Consider the following 24,236-nt stretch of genomic DNA (forward strand, 5'->3'; position numbering starts at 1 on the left):
CTGCAGTCTCCTGGGATCAAGCAATCCTCCTGCCTCAGCCTCTCAAAGTGCTAGGATTATAGGTGTGCACAACCACGCCCAGCTTATAGCAGTTTGGTTTCTATAACCCTATAGGAACAGAGGTCAACAAGGATTATTTTTATTAAAAATATCAAAAGAAGAGATGGACAGGTATAAGTAAAGTGGTTAAGTCTGAAACTGTAGAACATAGAACTTCTGGGTAAAATCCTTAGAGTCCACTGATGGAGGTATGTTAGAAGGCTAACAGCTTCAACTTCGCATCTCCAATTCTATAATTACCAACTGAAATAGATGGGCAAACCACCTTAACTTTGTATAAAGTACTCATGACACACACTGTGCAGTGGGAGAAGTAAAGAAAATGTTAGCCTGAGAGTAACTTTGTATTTGTCTACAAACCCAAATCTTATCTCCTCCACCTTTTAACTGAAAGGGTCAAGAGAGAAAAGGCTGCAAAGGCACCAGGGAAGCTGGGGAAATCCTGAAGGATAATGAACAACCACACCACGTTAGGCCACTCCACGTGGAGACAGCCTCTGCACGATGGTTCAAACATCAACTTAATGAAGAGAGAGTGGGCATAAGGGGTTGAATTCATCCAACTTTGGATCCTGACTATCTAAGCTGTCTCTAACATGAGGTCCCAATTCTCTAGTAATCAGAGGGGTTGAGAGGGTGAGGAAGGAGAGTTGTAAATGGGAGTGGACTTACTTTATGCAGTCAAATCTTAACAAGACACAAGCCCTAGAGGAAACAACTCTATGGACCTGAAAACTGCAAACACACACACACACACCATACAAATTGTTCTGACCAGCAAAGAAGGCATGAACACTTGACTTCCTAACAAGGGTCCACAGGCAGAGACCATCTATCTTGTTTGAAATTCTTAAAATCCTGGTTACATGATTCTAAAATTCCTGGACACATGATGTCCCAACCAACAGGAGATTAGAAGTAGCAGATTGAAAGGCTAGAGAAAGCTACACAGATATCAGCAAGAACTGACAGCTGACAAAAAGGTAAGAAAGAGAATCATTATTCTCAAAAGTGAGCATATTTTAAAACTCAGCAGTCTAGGAGCATTGAGAGGAACTAACAGCTTTACAAACTTCAACCTCTCTTGAGTCATTGCCATCCCCAGGCATGTGAAAAATAATTACAAGTGTAGGAAAGAAATACAGCATAGTAGCATAACATATTAAAGAGATTTAGGAATTCTAGTTCACACTAAATTCATTGAGAATGAAGCGTGCTGTAGCATGACACTCTGCAATCTTAGGGTATAGTAACAGAGGCCATATAAGGAAATGAATGAGGAGGTCACCCCTCCTTCAGTAAGTTGAATTCTGGATTCCTTAATTTGAGAAGAAAGAGCAATTAAGTGTATATTCAGATGAGAGCCACCAAGACCCTGAGGAGATCTGAAAACAAGGACTGTATGATTTTTTTTTAAGTGCAATGACAGTGGCATTGAGGGGCAACAATGCATAAACCTAGTTTGTGGGACTGACTGAGAGCTGCTGCTGAGGCAGCATAGAGGTCCCTGGGATTTCCGGGGTATTAACATGCCTGTGCGGCAATGGATCCTTGCAACTACTACAGGTGATCTGACCATATCTACACAGTATCCCTGGCTCAGTCTTTCAGCCCTGCTTCTCACACAGGGAAATCCAGAGCGTGGGTGGCAGGGGACGTGCCAGCAGGAACTTGAAAACACAGTAAGTGCAGCTCCAGGGGCTATAGACACATTTTGTTTGATTTGCAGTCTCCCTTACACCCCCTCATTTGGGCCTGTTTTAAATATGAATGGGTTTGATATAAAAATGTGTTTCTGAATTTCCCAAGGCCCGCAGCAGCCATGGCGACAATGAACTAGAAATGCGGTCAGCCTCCCTGTTTGGCTACTGCCTTCCAAAATTAACACCACTTATTTTTCAACAAAAACAAATCAAACCTCCTAGTCTACTTCATCTATTTAACCTGCCCTGCCTGGCACTTGAGTGTGTAAAGCCTGCCCTACAGCAGCACTTGATGTAAATGCAACTTAAAATATTTTTATATTTAAGATCAACACATATATTAGAGAATAAAGCAAAACACATACTAGAGAAAACATCTACCTATTAGCCCTGGGATGTCGAAAAAGCTTCAAGCCTATGTACCTTTTCAAGGGTCACCATGGGCACTTTGCTTACTGAGGGGTAGAAGTTTCCTATCTTGCTTTATTTCAGAGCAGTGGTTCTCAACCACATGCAAGTTTGTTCCCAAAGGACATTTGGGAACAATGTCTGCAGACATTTCTGGTTTTCACAACCGGGGGAGGATAGGGGGAGCTACTAGCATCTACTGGGTAGAGCCCAGGGATACTGCTAAACATCCTACAATAAACAGGACAGCCCCCACAACAATAATTATCTGGCAGAAATCCTACTTTAGCAGAAATCCTACTTTAGGAAAGTTTTCAGGAAGTGCTGGCCTATAAGATACAGGATACTTTGAGGCTCCTCAACATCTGCCCCAACCAAACCATTCCAAACTCATTTAAACTTTCACCTCCTATAGTTTATCCTCCACTCCTCATATGCCCCATCACTACTAGCAGTTTTTTTCAACTTTCACCTCCCAGGTTCAAGCAAGTTCAAGCAATTCTTGTGCCCCAGCCTCCTGAGCAGTTGGGATTACAAGCATGCGCCACCATGCCCAGCTCATTTTTGCATTTTTCGTAGAGATCGGGTTTTGCCATGTTGGCCAGGCTCATTTTGAATTCTTGGCCTCAAGCAATCCGCCTGCCTCGGCTTCCCAAAGTGCTGGGATTACAAGTGTGAGCCACAGCACCCGGCCTCCTCTGTTTCCTTTTAAGAAGATGAGGCTAAAAGCACTGTCAACTCACTGGGTTGTTCTGAGGATCAGAGGAACCCAGGATATTTCAGGGCTTAGTCAAGAGTTTTCCATGTTCTGGGGCTCCCAAACTTACCCTAGAAAAGAAAGCTGTAATAAAACATACTGTGAAACCCCGTCTCTACTAAAAATACAAAAAATTAGCCGGGCGTGGTGGTGGGTGCCTGTAGTCCCAGCTACTTGGGAGGCTGAGGCGAGAGAATGGCGTGAACCCAGGAGGCGGAGCTTGCAGTGAGCCCAGATCGCGCCACTGCACTCCGGCCTGGGCGACTGAGTGAGACTCCAACTCAAAAAAAAAAAAAAAAAGAAAGAAAGAAAACATACCAACAAAAGCAAACACATGCACCTGTGACCAAAATAGAACATCAAAGACTCTCTCACATCACAAATGTGAGCCATACTTTAGACAGAACCCACGTTACAAACAAGGTCCCTTACAGTTCTAGTGCATGCTCAGAACAAATTGAGGGGCAAAGACCTAACAAGAGGGGCATCAACAAATCTGGTATGTGGCCCTGCTCAAGCATGATCCTGTTATCATTCTAGAAAGGGGAAAGCAGAAGTAAACCAAGCCATAAATGAGCCTCTCTCACTCCCGGGGTTTTTGAAAAGGGGATGTAAAAGAGGCCATGTATTATTTACAGCCGAGGAAGCAAGGACCTCAGATGGTACTGAAACAACGAATATAGCCTATATCAATGCCAGCTTGTCCACATTACATGCAAGCCTTGTGGTTGTCTCTGGATGCCCCATTGTCTATTACAAATTCATCACAACCATGATTGGATACTGTCAAGCTTCACAAAAAGACAAGAGCCAGCTGTCAAACTAAATTCTTCTCATTGTTTACCAAAAGGAGGCAAAAAAGATTCTAATTATTCTAGCCCCACGAAACAGGTAAATAAGAAACACAGAGTCACATGTTCTGCCATAGAACAACTCACAGTTAGAATTTATTCTGCTTCCAAGGACAGCCACAGTGACTGCAGGGGTATGGCTGCAAAGTTCATATTATTTAATAAGCAAATTGGATCAAGAGGCTGAAGGCTTTATGTTTTCATATTTATTAAGTAAAGATGTATTCAAAACACAAAAGCAGAAAGGGGAAGGGAAAATCATGGTTGAGGGCACACATGCTTTTCAGAGGAGTATGGTATAAAGAGACCAGCCCACATCTAACCTGAATGTCACCTGTGATGTAGTATGCACACATCACCCTGTTTAATCATGATGTAGGCCTTTAAAGTAGATGCTGTTGATTCTTCTCATCTTACAAGTGTGATATAACTGAGTCTCAGAGGAAGAATAATGTGCCCAGGGCCACACAGCTGGTCAGTGGCAGAGCCAGGAATTGAGGTGTCTACCTGACTCCACAGTTTTTAATTTAGATAAACTCTAAGCTTATCTAACTACAAAAACAGAGCAAAGAGTATTAGGAAGCCAGTATTAGCTAACATAAATGAGAAATGGATACTAAGCAAGAGAAAGTAAATGTGAGAAGGGGAACCCTTGTTACTCTGTGAGACACAGCTGACCTTGGTGCAGCAAGTTTTCTGAATGCAAAGCCCAGAGACAGCTTCACCTTGGAGGAGTGAGGCCGTCTACCAAGCCCTGTGAAAAGGAGCACCTGAACAGAACCGAGACAACCTCAGACTTGCTTCAAGCCCGTGTTCACAAAATAATCCAATGGGTGCACTGAGCCCAGTGACAGCGGCTGCCCTCACCTTGCCCTACATGTCCTCTTTGGAAGAGCTGGCATCTTATATCACAACTCGACAGTCAGCTGCCCCTTAAACAGTGAGACTCTCAGTTATGGCTCTGGGGGAAGGACTTACTACAGACCATCTCCATAGTTTCATAGGTCAGAAGAAAGCACCTTTGAAGTGTTAGCCCAATTTTACAGTTAAACAGAAGAGAATGCTGCTTGAAGGATCAGATGATCAAAGCAGAGATTGACCATGCTGGTCTGCAAAAGTATGCCCTTTAGGTGTAAGCCCATTTTACAGGTAGCAAAACTGAGTCCGAGAATTTAACTGGATAGGCCATCCAGGTTCACTATGACTTGCTTAAAAGCAGTGTTGGACTCAGGTGACTCTAAGCCTCACAGTCTATCACTAGGTTGCACTATCTTACCCCTTTATAGTCACACGATACAGAATAAATAAAAGTGAATCAACTGAGCGGATCAAAATAAAAACAGAAGTAAATCACTTGAGCAAGCAGGAGGCTGGCTCCAAGTGCTCAGAGTCTAGTGGAATCACTGTTTAACCTTTGAAAAAGGAAGTAGGTTAAATTTAAGGACATGGATGGATACTACCAAACTTAAATTAAATAGGCAAGTTCACTCACTTTTAATTAGCCACAATCTTAATTAAGCAGCCACCTATAAAAAGCCCAGTAACCACCATTACCAGTGAAGCTATATAACATTCCTGCAGGAGAAGATCCAGGCTTGGCTCTTGGATGTAGGTTATCTAGAGAGCCTCATTAGTCCACTGAGATCCCACTGGCTAATGGACCACTCAGGGGCCTGTGTCCGCCTGAAGTACCCAGCCTCAGTCTCAGCCTAGCCACCTGCAGCCCAACACCCCTCAACCTACAGTCTTCTGTTAGCATCTGATTAGGTGTTAAGGTGTCTATAAGGTCCCCTTATTTCCTGCCTGGGCAGCTGCTATAACAGTCTTGGCCAAACTGCAGTTGTAAAGTGAACTAAGTCCATAGCTAATAGGTCAGGTGATAAGATGTGAGAGAACTAGCTGTCTTTTGCTTGTGTTCACAGCCTGCTCTAAACTGGTAGGGCTCTAACAAGCCACTTGATCTATTTCCCCAAGGAACTAAAAGGTCTACCGGAAAGGATGATAACAACAAATAGGGGTGGCAGGCAATCGCGCTTCCCTAGATCCAGGCTCTCTGGCCTACATAGCAAAGGCAAAATCACATGCGGAAGGAGGGGCTATAAGGATTCTCCAAGTGTTAGGAAGCTTTAAATGATGCACACCAAAGGAGGAGCTTAAAATACCAAGGAGAAAGTCTCCAGATTAAAACAAAGAAAAGCCCTAATTCTAAGGGGGAAAACTTGTTCCTGAATCACAGCTAAAGAATGTAGAGCTATTCAGTATTAGTGTCCCTTCTGCTGAAAAAACCAAACAGACAAAACAACTACAAAACTTAGAATGGGGTGGGGTGAAGAGCAGGAGCTAGCACAACAATACAGAGATATCCGAATGGTTTCAGAATCTGAGCATGTCGAGCTGCAAAAAGGTGGTGCCAGGAGAACCCAGGGCAGGGGCAAGAGGAAGTGTATGAAACATCCTCTGAGTGGATTCCCTTACTGGGTGTGGGGAACAAGGGATTGTCTAAATCTAAGAGGCAGAGAAAAATAAATGTCTCTCAAGTTTACCATCTCTTGAACACAGCCCCATTACCATGTGCATGGCCATCTGCAGGACCAAGGCAAGTACTCTGAAGTGGGCAAGGAAGATGGAGTGGAGGGCAGAGCATGGTGCCTGGCACGAAGCAGGCATGACCCTGATAGCTGGATCTCAGCAGCAGGCTGGAAGGGCCCATCCTCTCTGGATTATATAGATGACTTAAAATGAACAGAAATCATCAAATCCAAAAACGATAATCACCTCCTTTTAGCATTCTCCATTACATTCAAGTTCTCAAGCATCACCGAGCAGAAGGTAGGAGGCTGCTTACCTGCCTTTGCTCCTGGTCTCTTCCCATCCAATGTTAGAAGTGGGAAAGGCTGGTCTCCCCCATCTGCCTCCGCACCAGTACTCCACATTTTTCTGACCCTTCTTCTTCTTCTTGGGTTTGTGAGCCTGGGCTTTCCTTCTGTCATTCTCTTCTTCTATCTCTTCATAGGAATAAGAGGAGGTCCCCTCACTTTTTAACATCTCTCCTTCTGGCCACAGCCTAACCAGGAACATCGTTGGTCATTGTGGGGAAACTGGCCCTGGAGGCCCATCCTAGGCATGGCCCTACCGAATCCAGAGGGCAGGCACCTAGAAGCCTTCCTGCTGGGCCATGTTCCTTTAGACAGGTGGAAGCCCTCAGCTGAGCAAAGGGGAGAAACAGGAGTGCAAGGGAACTGAAGATGATAATCATGGGGCTCTCTGACCTCACAGTGATGCAGGCAGAGGTTTCCTCGCCACATCTCCGTACATCAGAGAACAGAAGGAAGCCAGGTCATGGGGCTGAGGATGGGCGACTTGATTTTTAAGACAGCAGGATGCAACAGTTTCTTTTTTCTAGGACAGTTAAAATGACGCAATTGATTATAGAACAGCGATGAGAAAGAGCAGCCCCCAGTGGGCCACCACTCCCCATGAAGGCCAAAGGCTTTAACACCTTGATTTAGGTGTAGTGTCAAGTTGTTGTTTTTCTCTCTTCTATGGGACAATGTTGGACTTTAACTGATTCAACAGAAAATTCTCAAGAATGTCTGCATGTGCTAAGTACTGTACAAGCCCTGGATAAGTTAGGTTACCACCATGCACACCTACCTGCTGGATGCCTAGATTTCTTTATGACGTATGCAAGACAGATTCAGTCATTTGTCAAATATGACCATTTTTTGTTTTCCCCCCACTACAGAACTAGAAGATGATGTTTATGTCACTTTTTGAGCTTAGATCTCATTCCAGTGTGCTGGGGCTAGTGCCACATGCCCCTTCCTTCACCATGGCACCCACCCACCAGGCTCTAAGGAAGCACCCACACCTGAGAGTAACCAAAGACAATACCTGAAATGTTTTGGTAAGGCCAAGCTATTAGATCAAGGTCACCCTTTGAAAACACCTTTGAGATGTGCAGTCTAGAAGGCTTTCCCTTCAGAAAAGAACATTCTCTGGACAACCTTGTTGTCAACGTTGATAAACTGTGAAACACAAGGCACTGTTCTTTCACTAAGAAATTTTCCCTCTTCTCAACATGGGATTACATATTGTCTGTAGGAAATTTGTGAGTTAAAAAAGCATATGCAGAAAATAGCACCTATACCCCCTACCTTTTTATAATTAGCATATGTCTTCGTGTGTACTTGTATATGTGGATTAAAGACACACATGCATGGGCTTTGGATCGGGTGTGCCAGAAAGAATCCTAGCTCTGAAACTAACAGTGTGATGTGCAATTTAACAAGCTTCACAGTTCGCTTATTATTAAAATGGGAGTTACACCTCCTTTTCCATAAGTTTGTAAGGACTAAGAGATGATACATGCAAAGCACACAACACAGTCCAAACAAGGAAGAACCTGCTAAGCCTCCTTATACCTCCTTCTCCATAGGTTTATCAACTAAGAGATGACACATGCAAAGCATACAACACAGTTCAAACAAGGAAGAACCTACTAAGTAGTAGATGTCAGTATGAAAGTTTTTCCATTAGGCCTTGGGATTGTTTTCTATGGCTGCTGTAACAAATACATGAACTTAGTGGCTTAAACCAACACATGTTTATTGTCTACAGCTCTGGAAGTCAGAAGTCTAAAACCATTTCGTTAGGCCTAAATCAAGGTGTTATCAGGGCCAGGCTTCCCCGGAAGGCTCTGGGGTAGAATTTATTTCCTCAGCTCTTCCTATTCTAGCTTCTGGTAGCTGCCAGCATTCCTTGGCTCGTGGCCCCTTCATATTCAAGGCCAGCAGCACAGAATCTTCCAGTCTCTCTCAGACTCTGACTCTTTGCTTCCGTTATGACATCTTTTTCTTCTGACTCTCATTTTCCTCCCTCCCTCTTATGAAGACCCTTTTGATTACACTGGGCCTACCTGGATAATACAGGATAACAGCCTCATCTCAAGATTCTTAATCGCATATGCAAAGATCCTTTTACCATGTAAGGTAAAATATTCAGTAATTCTGGGGATTAGGACATGGACCTCTTGGGGTGGGGGTGGGCAGGCATTCAACCCAACAGATGTTCTTATTATATTAAGCTATTTGAGAATGGTAACATGGGGTTGTTGGAAATATTTTCTCCTGTTTGTCTACATTCTTTCCATAAAAGTAACATGTTTGTTGTCAAATCCTCTTATCTACACTTTTGTCATTTCTCCCACTAACGTTAAGCCTAGGAATTCTCTCCGTATCTTGTCAGGATAGTGTTTGTGTATGCGTGGGTGTGGGTGTATGTACTTCACTCATTGTTACAAATTCAAACGATAGAGAAATACATAAAGTAGGAATAAAATTTGTTCCCCACCTCCAATTCTGTTTCTCCTAGGAAACCGCTTCATAGCCTGGGATCCACTCATCCAGAGTTTATGCTATTCATTCACACACTGCACTTCCATTTGTTTATGGGGTCAATTTGTACACCTAAGTCTATAGTCCAGCTGGGATTTACTTTAGTGAATGCTACATATACACCTAGGAATTCCTCCTCTCATTTGTTTTTTTTCTAAGGAATGATTAACTGAAGCACAATTTGGGTAATAGTTGTTATTTTTCTATGAAAGTGTATTTTGTGACCTATTCCTGTTTTTGTCCAGTACCACACCTGGGGATCATCTACCTGCCAGTTCTACCTCATGTTTACAGGTACCACTATTCACATGGTGGCAGCTGCACAAACTGAAGAAACAGCACTTGGGAAAAATTACGCAGGCTCCAGAGGACTCCTATAGATCTAAGCTTATAAAGTAACATAAACATCATCGTCTAGTCCTGTGATTGGCGGAAAACAAAAAATGGTCATATCTGACAAATTACTGAATCTGTCTTGGATATGTCATAAAGAAATCCAGGCATCCAGCAGGGGGACATGGTGATAACCTAACTTATCCAGGGCTTGTACAATACTTAGTACATGCAAAACACTCTTGAGAAACGTCTGTTGAATCAGTTAAAGTCCAACATTGCCCCATAGAAGAGAGAAAAACAACAACTTGACACTACTCAAAAGGCCTCCTGGTCTGCGTGGGGGCTCACTCCCTGAATACCGACAATTTAGGAGGCCCAGGCAGGAGGACTGCCTTAAGTCAGGAGTTCAATATCAGCCTGGGCAACAAAGTAAGAATCTGTCTGTACAAAAAAATAAAAACTAACCGAGCATGCATGTGTGTAGTCCCAGCTACTCGGAAAGCTGATGCAAGAGGATCACTTGAGCCCAAGAGTTGGAGGCTGCAGCGAACCAAGATTACATCACTGCACTTCATCCTGGGCGACAAAGGAAGACCCTGCCTCAAAAAAGAAAAGAAGAAAGAGGAAGAAAAAGAAGAAAGGGGAAGGGAAAGGGAAAGGGGAAGAGAAGAGGCCTCCTGATTCCCTATGATGAGTGATGAATGCTGCTCCGTAGAAAGATTTTGGCAATCTTGAATTCCTTCATCTATATATAGTCATTCCTCGAGGACTCATTGTGAAAATGAATCTAGATGTAGTGTACAAAGCAAACGCAATAAACCAAGGCCAAAATAGCCATAAAATCAAAAAGAGAACATGGCCCCCACAGCAGGCCTCACTTCTGTTGTCAGTGACAACATCACAGCCAGGCTGGTGGTTCCACTGTTGGGAGCAGTGATGTTTAACTCTGAATAGAACCAGGCTGCCCCAGAAGCATCCATGCCCATTTCAGATAGTGATTGTGCCCTAGGCTTTCCCAGTGCACAGTGTGGACTAAATATACCAAAGCGTTTGTTGAAGGGAACAGTAAAGGAAGCCAGCTCCAAGACCACACACAGATCACACTTGGTGTGAAGACAGCAATGGACCTCGTGAGGGGGTCGATCAATATCCATGCTGCAACAGCAGCATTCTCAACAGTGTGTGCTCGGAAGGGGTGACCAGTGTTCCTTAATGGCACCCAGCATCGGGAATGTAGAACCTCTACCAGCACATACAGGCAGAAAGCAAATTATAACAACCAGGACACAGTGAGTTTCACTAATAGAATTAGACCTACAATTTGGTCTCAACCAGATACAAACTGTCTGCTTAGGTCTGGTGTAATTTACAACAGCCTCAAACATGTTTCTCATCTCTTCGTATGACAGGCAGGTTAAACTTTCTCAGTGTCGCCACTCCCCTTTAATGCATTTCCAATTGCATGTGAAATTTATCACCCATCTGTGGGCTCTGGGCCTCCTGAGATCACCAGGACTCTGCAAACTGACACAGCCATGGGCCTGAGAAAGAAAGGTAATCTTAAGCACCCTTAGAAGAAATGGGCTGGAAGAAAAAGCCAGATGGAGGGTGCAGAGGACATCCTGGCAAACAGGTCAGTAAGCCATCTCTGGCTCTGGGATGTTTGCTAACAGTTGAAGATATTTTCACTTCTCAAACTCCTTTGACCACAATATTCCCCTTCTCAAAAATCTTTGGTGGCAGTGCCCTTCTGCCTGTGTTCCAAATACCACCATCTGGCTTTCAGGGTCTCTCATCTGGCGCCTCCTCTCTCTCAGCTCCCTCTACTCTTCTACATGTGGGTCATGGTGGTCAAGTCACAGCTGGCTTCTTTTGCATCTGTCACCCCCTCAGGGAGAAGGATGTTTTCTCTTCCAACTACTGAAATCCTACCATCCTTAAAGAGCTAGTGCCAAATGACCTCATGCATGAAACCCCACAGGCAGCTCAGGCAGCAGTAGACTTCATTCTTTTCGATTGTTTACTTGTGCCTCGGTTGGCACATAGTGTCTTTCACTGGAGTCATGCTGGGAGTCACTTCTATTGGTGATATACCTATGGGTGAGATACCGTAAGTAATGGGAAATATCTTCATTCCCATCTCCCTTGCTTGTGCCAACACCTAGTGCTGGGTTTTAGAAGCATTGCTGGATGGATGAATGACCCTCTTTCCTGACATCAGGCTCTCATGACCTGGGTCACAGTCAGGTGCCCAGGAGGTTAGCAGGTGAGCCCTGATGGAAGTGGGTGAAGTGAGCAAGAGGGAGCAGTAGGGCCCATAGCAACCTGGAGAGGTCATGTCTCATTTACTACCAGGCATCTGCTTCTCAACTCCAGCATTTGTTGCTAGGTGGGAATATGGGCCCCATGTTGCTAGATACTATGATTTTGTAAGAAAATCCAGAAATAGGGATTTTTAAGTGAAATATTTTGATGTATAAGGGCTACTTACCAATGTTAATTTAAAAAATACTCGGTCGGGCGCAGTGGCTCACGCCTATAATCCCAGCACTTTGGGAGGCCAAGGTGGGAGATAATGAGGTCAGGAGATCGAGACCATCCTGGCTAACACGGTGAAACCCCATCTCTATTAAAAATACAAAAAATTAGCCGAGCGTGGTGGCACATGCCTGTAATCCCAGCTACTCAGGAGGCTGAGGCAGGAGAATCGCTTGAACTGGGGAGGCAGAGGTTTCAGTGAGCCAAGATCACTCCAGCTTGGGTGACAGAACAAGACTCTATCTCAAAAATCAATCAATCAATCTGTGGGCAAACAGAAGCACGTCTGCAGGTTCTGGCTGAGTTTGGGCCCTGTGATCTGGAACCTCCACTAATGGTCTTTGGAACAATTAATTAAGGGTGCCATCCTACATGTAACATTGAAATAAAAGATGCAGTGTCTGCCCTCATGGAGCTTAAAACCTGGTTCTGGAAATGTAAGATGTATACATGGAAATCTGAGCAAGAAACGGTGGCATATGTTGATATTGTGGAATTAGGACTTCAGACTTTTTGGAGCCAGGGAGCTGTGGTGGGCTGGGGGGTCCGCTCCACTGTCACGGGCTTCTTTCTTAAATACGTTCTGGGTCGATGGGGAGATGTTGGTCAAAGGAGATATAATTACAATTCAAAAGGGGGAATTTTTTTTTCCTAAACCAGTTTTCAGACCCCCAATTTTTTTTTAAGCCCAAATAGGCAAACAAAGAGAGAGGAGATAGGTGACTGCTTGGGCTAGGGGAGAGGATAGGTAGGTAGCGGGGAAAGAAGTGAAGAATGGCTACCTATGGTTATGGGGTTTCTTTTTTAGGCAGTGAAAAGGCTGTTTGTGGTGATGGACACACAACTCTGAACACACTAAAAACCACTGGATTGTACATTTGAAGAGGGTGAATTGTATGATATGTGAATTATATCTCAAAGCTGTTGAAATCATAAAGTAAAATAAGCTCCCTAGCACACAGGAAGCCTGATGACAGCCAATCTCTTTAATTTTCACCTCCCACTATTTCTTGGGTCGTGGGAGGCCAAAACAACAACTACTGATGGCATCAAATATTGAAAACTTACTATGTAGGGGGCCCTATGTATTAAGCACTTTATTCCATTCAAACCTCACAGCAACCCCACATGGGTGAATTACTATCCTCACTTTATAGTTGAGAAGAAAAGGAGGCAGGGCATAAGTAATCTGCTCAAGGTCACAGGGGAACTGTGAAGCCAGGACTTGAGCCCAAGGTGGCCAACTCCAGAGCCTGTGCTCTGTGCACCAGGCTATGCTGCGTTCCGTAAACCCAGGCAGGAGAGGCGGAGGAAAGCACAGAGGTGACACTCGTGTCATGTGACTACAAGAGTGAAAGTGTGTCTGATAAGCATCTCAGTCCAGCTAAGTGCAAGCTATGGAATGGTGCAGATTAGAAAGGGGGTAAGAACTGGTGGCCAGCCACGCTGTGAGCCTATATAATTCAGTTAACAGGAAAGCTGGTGCACTGCAGGCCTTCTTTGTCATACTATGTATAAGTCTAGCATAAAGCAAGTCTCGTGCCACATACAGAAATGGTATCACCCATATAAGGCAGTTCAGCTTGTTCATGTCTTTGGTGGTGTCATTATTTGAGATTAAAGGGTTTTGGTATCTTCTTTCTGAGCTACTTGATAGCAGGGGCTGTCATTTGAGTCCTTCTTCCCCTACCACCTCAGCACCTAACACCTAGCAGGTGTTCAAGTATTTTAAAGTAAATGAGCCTGGGATAACTTATGTATTTCAAGAGAGAAGGCAGGAACTAAATAATATCTAACCTTTTAGAAATGTACAGATGTGGGGCCAGGCATGGTGGCACACACCTGTAATCCCAGCACTTTGGGAGGTTGAGGCAGGAGAATGGCTGGAGCCCAGGAGTTCGAGACAAGCCTGGGTAACATAGTGAGACTCTGTCCCTACAAATAATTAAAAAAAAAAAAAAAATAGCCGGGCATGATGGCCTGCACCTGTGGTCCCAGCTACTCGGCAGGTTGAGGCAGGAGGATCTCTTGAGCCTGGGAGGTTGAGGCTGTAGAGAGCAGTGATCATGGGCCACTGCACTCCAGCCTGGGTGACACAGCAACACCCCCACCTCAAAAAAAAAAAAAAAAGAATTAACAGACAGTATAGATGTAACAAAACTACCTCTGAGGAACACAACAAACAGCTGGCACAAGATTCAGGAGAGAGGCTGGGCTGGGTTGGGAGGCGGGACCACGTAGGCTGAGGTGCATGCAGTGACCTTCAAGTTTCTGAGTTGGGGGTGGGCTCACAAGGGTTGGATGTTATATAGAAATGAAATCAATAGGCCAGGGGCAGTGGCTCAAGTCTGTAATCTCAGCACTTTGGGAGGCCGAGGTGGGCGGATCACCTGGGTAAAACCCCATGTCTACTAAAAATACAAAAATTAGCCAGGCATGGTGGTGTGCACCTGTAGTCCCAGCTACTCTGGAGGCTGAGGCAGGAGAATTGCTTGAACCTGGGAGGTGGAGGTTGCAGTGAGCCAAGATTGCACCACTGCACTCCATCCAGCCTAGGTGACAGAGCGAGACTCCGTCTCCAAAGAAAAAAAAAGAAAGAAATGAAATCAATAGAAGAGCATCCTGCAAGGACAGGTGTTAAGTGTGAACCAAGGACCATGACTAATCTAGTGCCGTGTTATCTGAGGTCCGAGTGTAAATAATATATAAAACCACAAGACACACAGAACAGGAGTAAGGCCCTCTTTGTGGGACCAATAATAGAAACCACATGTAGTAAGCTAAATTGCCAAATCTAAAAACAATGTGGGTAGTTTATATAAGGGGTCCTGAACCTGGAGTCCACTTACTTTGAATAGACAAGATGTGCTAATCCCTGAAACTGGACACAAAATTGTATGAGTGTATTTTTTCTGGGAGGAAAGTTTGCTGCTTCCAGATTCTCAAAAGGATTATCTAAAAAGAGTTAAAATTAGGGTTGGAGAGTGAAAGAATCTGAAGCAGCAGCATTGCAGCAGACACTGTGTGCCATGGGCCATAGAATAAAGTCTCAGGATGCTCTGGTAGAATGGTGAATGGGGTGAAGGCAGTTGGATTGCATCACCACGTGAATGAGATCATTATTCCCCAATGACTGCCAGCTTGCTGAAGTAAATGAGGCCAAGGAGAGAGAACAATGCAACAGACCACCAAGGCTAATACCATCCTCTCCTCTCCATGCCTGACTTTCACAGGAATGAGTGACACCACTCCAAACATCCTGAACTTTCTGAAGACAACCCTGAAACCCAAGGGGGATATTTTTCTGGCTTCTTCCCGGTGAAGGCTATTGATTTTGAAAGATAAAAGTGGCCAAGCAACACATATGGGTATCTGAAACAGAATTTTTATTTTTAGGAACCGTGTGTGAGACACTAGAATGATGGCTCCTAGCTGGGGAGAAAGGGCATTTCATGAGCACAGGTGGAAAGAGTTTTGCCATGGATGAAGTGACAAGGTAAGTTTTAATGTGGAATTTGGAAAGTGGAGGAAGACACGTAAAATTTATATCCTAGCTACAGTGGAAGACAGTAAATATGACAGGTTACCACAGAAGGAAGGGATTTCAAACCTAATAGGAAAAAATAAAAGGGAGCTGGAATCTCATTATAAATGCATGGTCTGTGAGTAGTAAACATCATGAATTTGAAATTATAAAGGAAAAGTGATCTCATGCAAATATAGCAACAGGCAGGTACAGTTTGTTCAATGAAAGCCATTCAGATGGAGGGCTCAGGACAGCAGCTCTGTGGGTCAAGATGACTTGACAGTGAACCACGAGTTGCTGTGAGGATACATCACTGCCTGCCTGCTGATCCCCTTCCTGTTAGAAAGCACAAGACTATACAAGAAACAGTGGTGGTAGGGGTTCCTTCTAACACCAAGACTATCTGGTTCAACTTAAAAAAACATTCTCCCATATTGAACTTCCCTGTTCCACTTAGTTAGGCTAGACCTCAGGTCTGCACAGCAGACTGAGCTGACACAGGAAGCCCCTTCTCCACTGAGAAACATATGGAAATGTCGGATACAACTTAAGTTAAAAAGCAAACAAAGAAAAGCCTAGCCAACCTTATAAGCAAAAGGATCTATCCCCAGAAATAAAGAGAAATTTCAAAGAGCAAATAGGGGGATTTGAAACCAGATGGTGCCCAGGTGGCTACCTAGGTGAGGCCAGCAGTGAGGCCTGAAGACACCTCATCTTGCAGGAAACTGGTGCTGTGCCAGAAGCAAGGAAGGGATTTCGTTAGGCAAAAAATCTTTCAATGCATTTGGCTTTTCTTGAACACTAACTTGACCATGTAGTAGATAAAGGGTTAACATTCTGCCATAGGTGATCTGCAGGTTATTTGGAGTATGATGGATGGAGACCAAACAGTTAAATTCTTATATGGAACCCCTTACACAGGGGGAAAAAGCCTCGGATGTATCCATCTATATGCTTGGAACTGGAAATAAGAAACTACTGGCCTGGCTGGGCACAGGGGCTCAGGCCTGCAATCCCAGCACTTTGGGAGGCCGAGATGGGAGGATCACCTGAGGTCGGGAATTTGGGACCAGTCTGACCAACACGGAGAAACCCCATCTCTACTAAAAATACAAAATTAGCTAGGTGTGGTGGCACGTGCCTGTAAATCCCAGCTACTCGGGAGGCTGAAGCAGGAGAATTGCTTGAACCCAGGAGGCAGAGGTTGCAGTGAGCTGAGATTACGCCATTGCACTCCAGCCTGGGCGACAAGAGCAAAACGCCATCTCCAAAAAAAAAAAAAAAAAACAAAGAAGAAACTACTGGCCCACAGCAGTGTGGTATCCCACCCTCCATAAATCTAGGGCCCCAAGTCAGATGAAGTCCTAATCCATGGCTCCTTCTTGGTGACTTTAAAAACCCAAGAACCAACTAGCTTTTGCTTTTCTCCCCAGCTATAGGTTTTGCTTAACATATTTCTTGCATTTCAGAGTCAATGCTTTTGACATCCTCATTTTCCAAACTTTTATGAAAACTTGAAAGAAATATTAAAAATATGCTCTAGATTTTATGTCAAGCCTTGATTTTTAGGTGCTCCTATAACTTCAAAGTAATTTAATTATGCAGGAAGGTTGGTTTAGTAAAGGTTCATTAATGCCCAAGACAACATGCCTTTCTCCTTAAAGGGGAAAAGTCTTATTCTGCTAGAGGGCTAGATTAAAATCAAGCAAGTTTTTACACTTAAGCTAATTGAGACCAGGGGAGCCAGGAATGAAGTGGTTTCCTGTCCCGCCATCCAAGTAACACGCTGTCAGGCAGGCTACACTCACTCCAGCCAATAAAGGGGCAACGGCAGCAAGGAACGACCCCACAACCCCATTTTCATCGCTCCTCTTTCCCTCCCAGTTTTTACTGGCTGCCAGCACAACCCAGTCAACAGCAAGCTTTCCTTTACCACACAGGCTTTCCTCCTTCCCTGAACCTGCTCAACCCCAGCCTCCATTACAAATTTCCCCATTAACCGAAGCCACCAAAATCTGCTGTCTGCCTTCCTTGCCTTAGACACTTCTGAATGAATTGTGATTAACTGATTCAATGTTCAGTTTTGCAAAAGGGGGAAAAAAAAAAAGGAAGGATGGGGAAGAAGCTCAAAACAAATAAAGCAATCCCGGGGTTGTGCTGGAGTGCACACGGAGCTTCTATAGGAAATGACTTTTTACTAGTCCCTTAAAAAACTTGCTTAGGCCAAGCAGCCACTCTTTATCTAGATTTGCCAAAATCTGTTCTCCAGGACTGATAACCTACACTGGGGTAGCTCCGACACTGGGTTTACTTTGAAAGATTTTCTCCAGTTACCGCCAGCTGCCTATCTGTTTCGACAATACGTACATAGTTAGCCTACAGGATCATCACTGTCATTCTTTTGGACATGTTCATTTATTAGCAGTCATTCAGATACGCCGACAGTGTATTTGCAGGGGACACAAAAACACACACGCTTATACACACATGGTATGTTAGATGTTTAAGACTGGGAAAAAACTTAAGTCAAACAACACATAATTAGCCTCTGCTTGCAGAGATGAGACAGTTTATCAGACTTTATGACTTCTGTTCCCATTCCCCAGCTCCCCCATATACCTTCTACTTTCCCCTCAGCCCCAATGCAGATGAAAGTTTGCCCTTTATTTAAAAAAAAAAAAAAAAACTTTTTCTAGGGGTATAGAAGCTTCAGACTTTTGAACTTTATGGCGTCCGTGTTAGAAGAGTGACTTGACATATTCTCAACCCTGTTTTTCATCAACAATGCCTGCTCACTGCCAAGTTTAGATGTGACTTTAAATTGCACCCAATCCGGCAAAATAATATTTCACTGCTGGCTACCAGTAAAGCGCATACAATTTTCCCTTTCAGAACTTCTGAGCCACCAAGCCAGGAAATCTTTTGGTGACCACTCCCCTTCCCATTTGTAGAGAGAAGCCAATACTCAGGACCAGGGGCTGGACTTGGGGAATACAAGGGTTCCTGCATTTCAGCCAGGGCTCCCTCTTGCCCCACCGGGAAACTACCCAGGGGCCTGAACCTGCAAGAGGTAGACAGGCACTGTGAGCTGGGCCAGTTGCCCCGCTTGTGCTCCTACCTTGACATGTGCTCTGGTCCTCCTTGCCCAAGAGGTGTGGGGATGGGTGTGGTGGAGGCACAGTCCGGGGTTGGTCTCGCCTGCCGCACGCCTGTTCAGTAGCCTTTTAATGAACTCAGTGACTCAGCGCTGTCCCTCCCCCACCGGCCTCGGATCTCATTCCTCTCAATCGCACTGATGCCCATGTGACAGCACGTTGTCTCCACCGAGACTAATCCCTTATCAATAAGAGCTTTCAGCACGGCCCAGACCAGATTACTCTGTCTCACAACCACTTTGCTGACCTGCCCGGGGGGCCACCGAATACTCCCCGAGCGCATACTATTTACAGAAGAGTCAAGATAAGCCGGATCACTTGGCGTGATTATTTCGCTTCCAAAGTTTGTGGCTTTAACAAAGCAAACCCACATTCAACCACTCAACCAGGCGCCGTGCAAGCCACCAGAATGAAAAAAAACAACGCTGGATCTTACACACATGCAGTAATCAAAATATTACAAATAAAGGCTACATGTGAAATGATAGGTTAAGATGCGCTCTAGACACCAGATGTATGGAGTTTGCTATTAGATTTCTTTGCCATAGATCCAGCGCAAGGCAACATGGCATTTCATTGTCAGATTAATGTGGACATAATAATTTATAAGAAGGCTTTAAAAAAAGTCACCAAGATTGGTCCTTAACTTTGCCCATTCAGATTCTTAAGAGCAAACCAAATTTGAGGAGAGATGCCGGACGCCAAACTGAGTACAGGCTCAATATCCCCTATTTTCCGTCCTTCCTTTTCCGGCAATTTTTATCCCACTCATCTCTATCCACAGCCTTTCTGGGCAGCTGAGATGAATAAGAGGAATGAGTATAAAGCCTACAAACACGGTCAAGGAGATGACTGGGAGTAACTACATCTGTGCCTAGAGAATGGTCTTGACGGTTTGCAAGAACCGTTTCATCAGCATTATGGGCAAGAACAAGAAGGCCAAGGCATACTTAAAATCATCACAAAGCCTCTTTCTAGCACTAAATGTGAAGTAATGAAGCCATCACACAGCAGATGAAGGCCTTTGCACACAAAGCTCTCTTCCTCAGAAAAGCTCTATTGATTGATCTTGAAATACAGATTTTTAGTTCTAAAACTGTGTGGATAGCTAGTTAAAATTCACTCTCTTTCCCTCCGAAATGCATTAAAATTCTAAAACATGCACCAAATTCTAAAAATTAAGAATTCTAAAATTCTAAAATATACACCAAATAAAATTTATTTTTAGTATTAAAATACCTGATGCTCATTTCATCAAGTCTCTGTTCTCTCGTCTCTGTTCAACGCAGTTAGGCAGATCTGAGGGTGCTGCGGAGAGTATCTGAGGAGAAATGCCAGGCAGAGAGCGAGCAGGCCCTGAGCTGCAGAGACAATGCTCCAGGCAGAAAACCATGGCTGGCAGGAAACCAGGAGAAATTGTGCAAGCGAAGAGCCATTCCAAAGCTGTTCTCTGTCCCACGGTTATGATCACAGGGGAGGGTAATTGCATCTACTTCTGATCATATTACCTTTTGCCATTTGTCAGATAGCAGACCTCAAATTCAAGGTGGATTAGTCTGGAAAACTAAACAATCAGTTTTGAAGTCTTACTTTTATATCCATCCACTGATCAATGCAAATATGAATAGTACAGAAAACAGTCAAACACCTAATGAAAAGTGGAACCCTGCAGTAACTCCCCCGTATTCAACAGATGACAGGGCTAATGCAGGGAGTTTGGGGCTATGGACTGGTTTTATAGCCAAAGCCACAGATAATTCCATCACCAAAGACTGCTTCCTACTTTTGGTGAAGGAAGCAGGTAATTTACATGCCAGTCTCAGTTTTTTCCTCCTTTCTCTCTCCCTCACCCCCTGCCTTACTGGTATTTTTCTCTATGAGTTCCCTTGATGTATTTTGTGTTGGAGGACCCAGCCTGCAGCTTTCACAGGAAGGGCTGATGCAGTGAGAAGAGCAGGATCTAAGAATCAGAGGAGGTGGGTTTGAGATCTAGAATAAACAGTTAAAGGCCTAGAGGCAAGGAGCTTCACTTTTGAGCCTTAATTTCCTCAGCTTTAATGAGAACACTACCTGCCCTGCTTGCTTACTAAACAGGACTGACCTGGTGGTCAGGTATGGAATGTGGGCTTGTATCATAGAGAAGGTGGACAAAACAGGATGGAGAAAACAAAGTCTGAGCCCCTGCTCTGCCATGTCCCTTGTGGGGCTTCCCTTCCTCTTCTAGGCTGCATTTGTAAAATCTGCTCTGTGTATCTACCAGGGTCAACAGGAAACTTAAGCAATGCATTTGAAGATAAATATTACAAAACTGACGATGCTATCAGAGGGCATGTTCTTACCAGTCTGTCCAAAGACTATGTTTTAAAAGCATGAATAGCTCTAAAGTTGAAAGAAAGTCTTAAAGAGTATTTTTATATTACACTATAGAAAAATATCTTATTTGCTTTAAATAACGGGAATCTAAGTTTCAAGTCAGCAGATTAGAGGTGAGCGGGTAGCGAAACCATGAGGGGTGGCATGGGTAGATAGAGCATTCTCCCAAGTAAGATGACTGAAGCCAGAGCTGATGGGGCTAACAATGACGTTCAGTCAACGCAGTGCATAGACCAGCTTTGGAGGCCAGGGCATTTCTATAGAAGGCTCCTGAAGCCATGCCACAGAGATGGGTCCTTTCCTGTTGCTTCACTGCCTAGCCCCTTTGTGAGCATGGTGAGAAGCCTGAAGGTGGCAGCAAGCACTGTGTGCTGGCATCTGCAGTGAGCAGTGACAGCTACACCACTGGACAACTCAATCCTGCAGGACTGCTCCAAGACTGAAGTTCAGAATGACAGGTCACTACGGCTTGCAGTCATTGACTCCCAACACCTCATTTTACATACAGGAAAACTGAGGCCTGGCAGCAAGGTGGAGGCACTTTCCCAAGAAAGGCAGCATCCAAGCTTTACTGAGTGCCCTGGTCCTCGGATGCCCCACCCAGTGTATACTCACTACCTTGGGATGTTTCCCCCTAACTGGAATCCTATTGTTCACCCATTTGCTCATATGTGTAATATATACCATAGAACCTTAAAAATTATCTTTGACAATTTTCTCCTCTTGGCTTTATAAAAATCTGTCCTTTCCTTATGCAAATTATTTTCCAAATATTTAAATTTTTCGGGCCGGGCCCAGTAGCTCACGCCTATAATCCCAGCACTTTGGGAGGCTGAGGCAGGCCTCCCACTTGAGGCCAGAAGTTCAAGACCAGCCTGGGCAACATAACAAAACCCTATCTCTACTAAAAAAATTAGCCAGGCATGGTGGTTCATGCCTGTAATCCCAGCTACTTGGGATGCTGAGGCACAAGAATCCCTTGAACCTGGGAGGCAGAGATTGCAGTGAGCTAAGATTGCACCACTGCATTCCAGCCTGTGCGACAGAGCGAGACTGTCTCAAAAAAATAAATAAAAATAAAATTTTCAGGCACTTTGAGGAACCCTAGTCTTGAATCATCTTGTACTTAAAAAGTAAGTAAATTAGGTAATTTATTTTGTGAATCCTTCGTAATATTTGTATAACCCCTTACAGTTTTCGTAAGCTTTCCCTCATTTGATCATGACAATAGCTCTGTGATGTAAGCAAGACAGGGGTCATTACCCTTAATTTTGGTGGTATTACAGAGCGATGAAATGATTCATCTAGCACCAGAACTAAAGTAGAACCCAGTTCTTCCCAACACTATCTTGGTCCTCCTTACTCCATTAATTCAAATGAGAGCCTTTGTGTAGTGGGCACTGTAGTTGGAACCAAGGGGGCAAAGATACGTAAAACAGAGTTCAGTTTTTTCCAAAGAGCTGGCATCTAGGAGACACACATACACACAAAAAGGTTACACATGAATTTGGGGGTTAGAGACTTTGGAATCAGACAGATTCGTATTTGAGACCAGACCTCACTGTTTACTAGTTATGCAACGGTGGGCAAATCATTCTGCCCCTTTAAACCACAGTGGTCTTACCTCACAGGATTGTCAGGAGAATTGAATGAGATGGCAGAGGAAAGATGTTTAGCACAGAGTCTGGTTCATGGTAAGCATCCAGTACGTATTAGCTATTTTTATTAGCATTAATACAAGGCAATGACAGAGACACATGAAGGCTATTAAGAGAGCAAGGTCTGGGGACACCTATCCTCCATCGTGGAGGGTGGGGGGTGGGGTGGGCGGGGGCAGTGTATCTGGAAGAACTGAATCTTAGAGAATGGCTTTAATGATTGTTCTTACAAAACAATACTTATCTTTGTTCTTTTGTTCTTTTCATCTGTCCATCCACGTAGTTATCCAACGCCTACAGTGAGCCCAGCACTTTACAAAATGATTCTCAGCAGGGCTCCCTTGAATAAAGGGTTTTCCTAGGGCACTTAAAATATGAGCACATTTACAAAAATTATACTCACACACCTTTTCAGAGTTATACCTACTGAGTGAAATGAGGTATATCAATGGTCTATTCTGATCCTAGCTAGAGGTAACAGCTTAAGAGAAACAAACCTATAAACAGAACCTTAACAAGATGTCCTTTGGTAACAAAGTGAAAAGTCCTTCCCCTGGAGGCCACGTTAAAGTGGTCTGCTGAATGAGAACCCTACTCTCATCAGCAGAGGTGGGGCCTGAGCTACTGGGGACTTCAATCGTGTCTGCCTTCACCATTCACTTAAAAGAGGGAAATTATCCAGCTAAATGCTTACTCATATGCAATATCTGCTTGTCAAAGGTAGCACAGATAATAATCCCATACTTTCCACTTTGTATGATGATTACAACTTCCTCTCCATTCATTCTCTCAACTGACCTGGTAGCCAAATGAGCCAATCTGGATAAAGCAGAGATATAGCCAAGGTGGGCTGGCCTGTGAACTTTCTTTTGAAAATGGGTTCTGCTACTGAAGATATGTATCTTCAATACCTAACATAGTGACATATCACAGTCACCAGATATGATACTTTGTAAGCTGGATAATTAGTTCAAATCAATCCCTTACATGGCACACTTTGTGAGAAGGAAGTTGGAACCTATCTGTTCCCCTGATGGACAAGACTGATTCCTTTCTACAGAGTGCCTTGAACTACTGCAGAAGAAAACCACCACCCTTCAAGAGCACCCAGAAGCTGTGTGCAGCTGGACTCCTGGAAGGCTCTCCCTGCCTTGGGATGCTGCCCCGTATAAAAAAATGTAGGACCAGGTCCTCTGGGTAATGGTATTTGTGACTTTCTTTCTCAAAGAACTAGGTTCTTCGAGATGGGATTAGACTTCCATTACTATCTGAAATGTGAGGTGAAGAAACTGAAAAAAAAGCAAGCCTTTCAATCATGAGAAAATGCAGTTGCTATGATGCCAAAATAGAACACTGTGTTTTTAAGGTTTCTAGAAACTGAGGCAAAGAGGAGTCACAGAAAATTCAGCTAGCAAGAGTATCATGAAAAAAACAAACATCTTTGTTTCTTAAATGCTTTAGAGAGACACTCTTAC

General features: G+C 44.0%; 1 protein-coding gene across 2 annotated transcripts in view, besides 1 other annotated feature; it reads right to left on the reverse strand.

Moving 5' to 3' along the window:
• Nucleotides 1-24,236, reverse strand: part of MCC (MCC regulator of Wnt signaling pathway) — a 466,348-nt gene that overhangs the window by 162,438 nt on the left and 279,674 nt on the right. The gene's annotated exons all lie outside the window — the stretch shown is intronic.
• Nucleotides 18,668-19,209: an enhancer, noted in NCBI's record as "H3K27ac-H3K4me1 hESC enhancer chr5:112538908-112539449 (GRCh37/hg19 assembly coordinates)". NCBI's record gives its function as "activates a minimal SCP1, AML or CMV promoter by ChIP-STARR-seq in naive H9 embryonic stem cells {active_cell/tissue: H9 hESC(naive)}" and the evidence as "EXISTENCE:reporter gene assay evidence [ECO:0000049][PMID:30033119]".

This window comes from Homo sapiens, chromosome 5 (assembly GCF_000001405.40).
Source record: "Homo sapiens chromosome 5, GRCh38.p14 Primary Assembly".
Classification (NCBI taxonomy): Eukaryota; Metazoa; Chordata; class Mammalia; order Primates; family Hominidae; genus Homo; species Homo sapiens.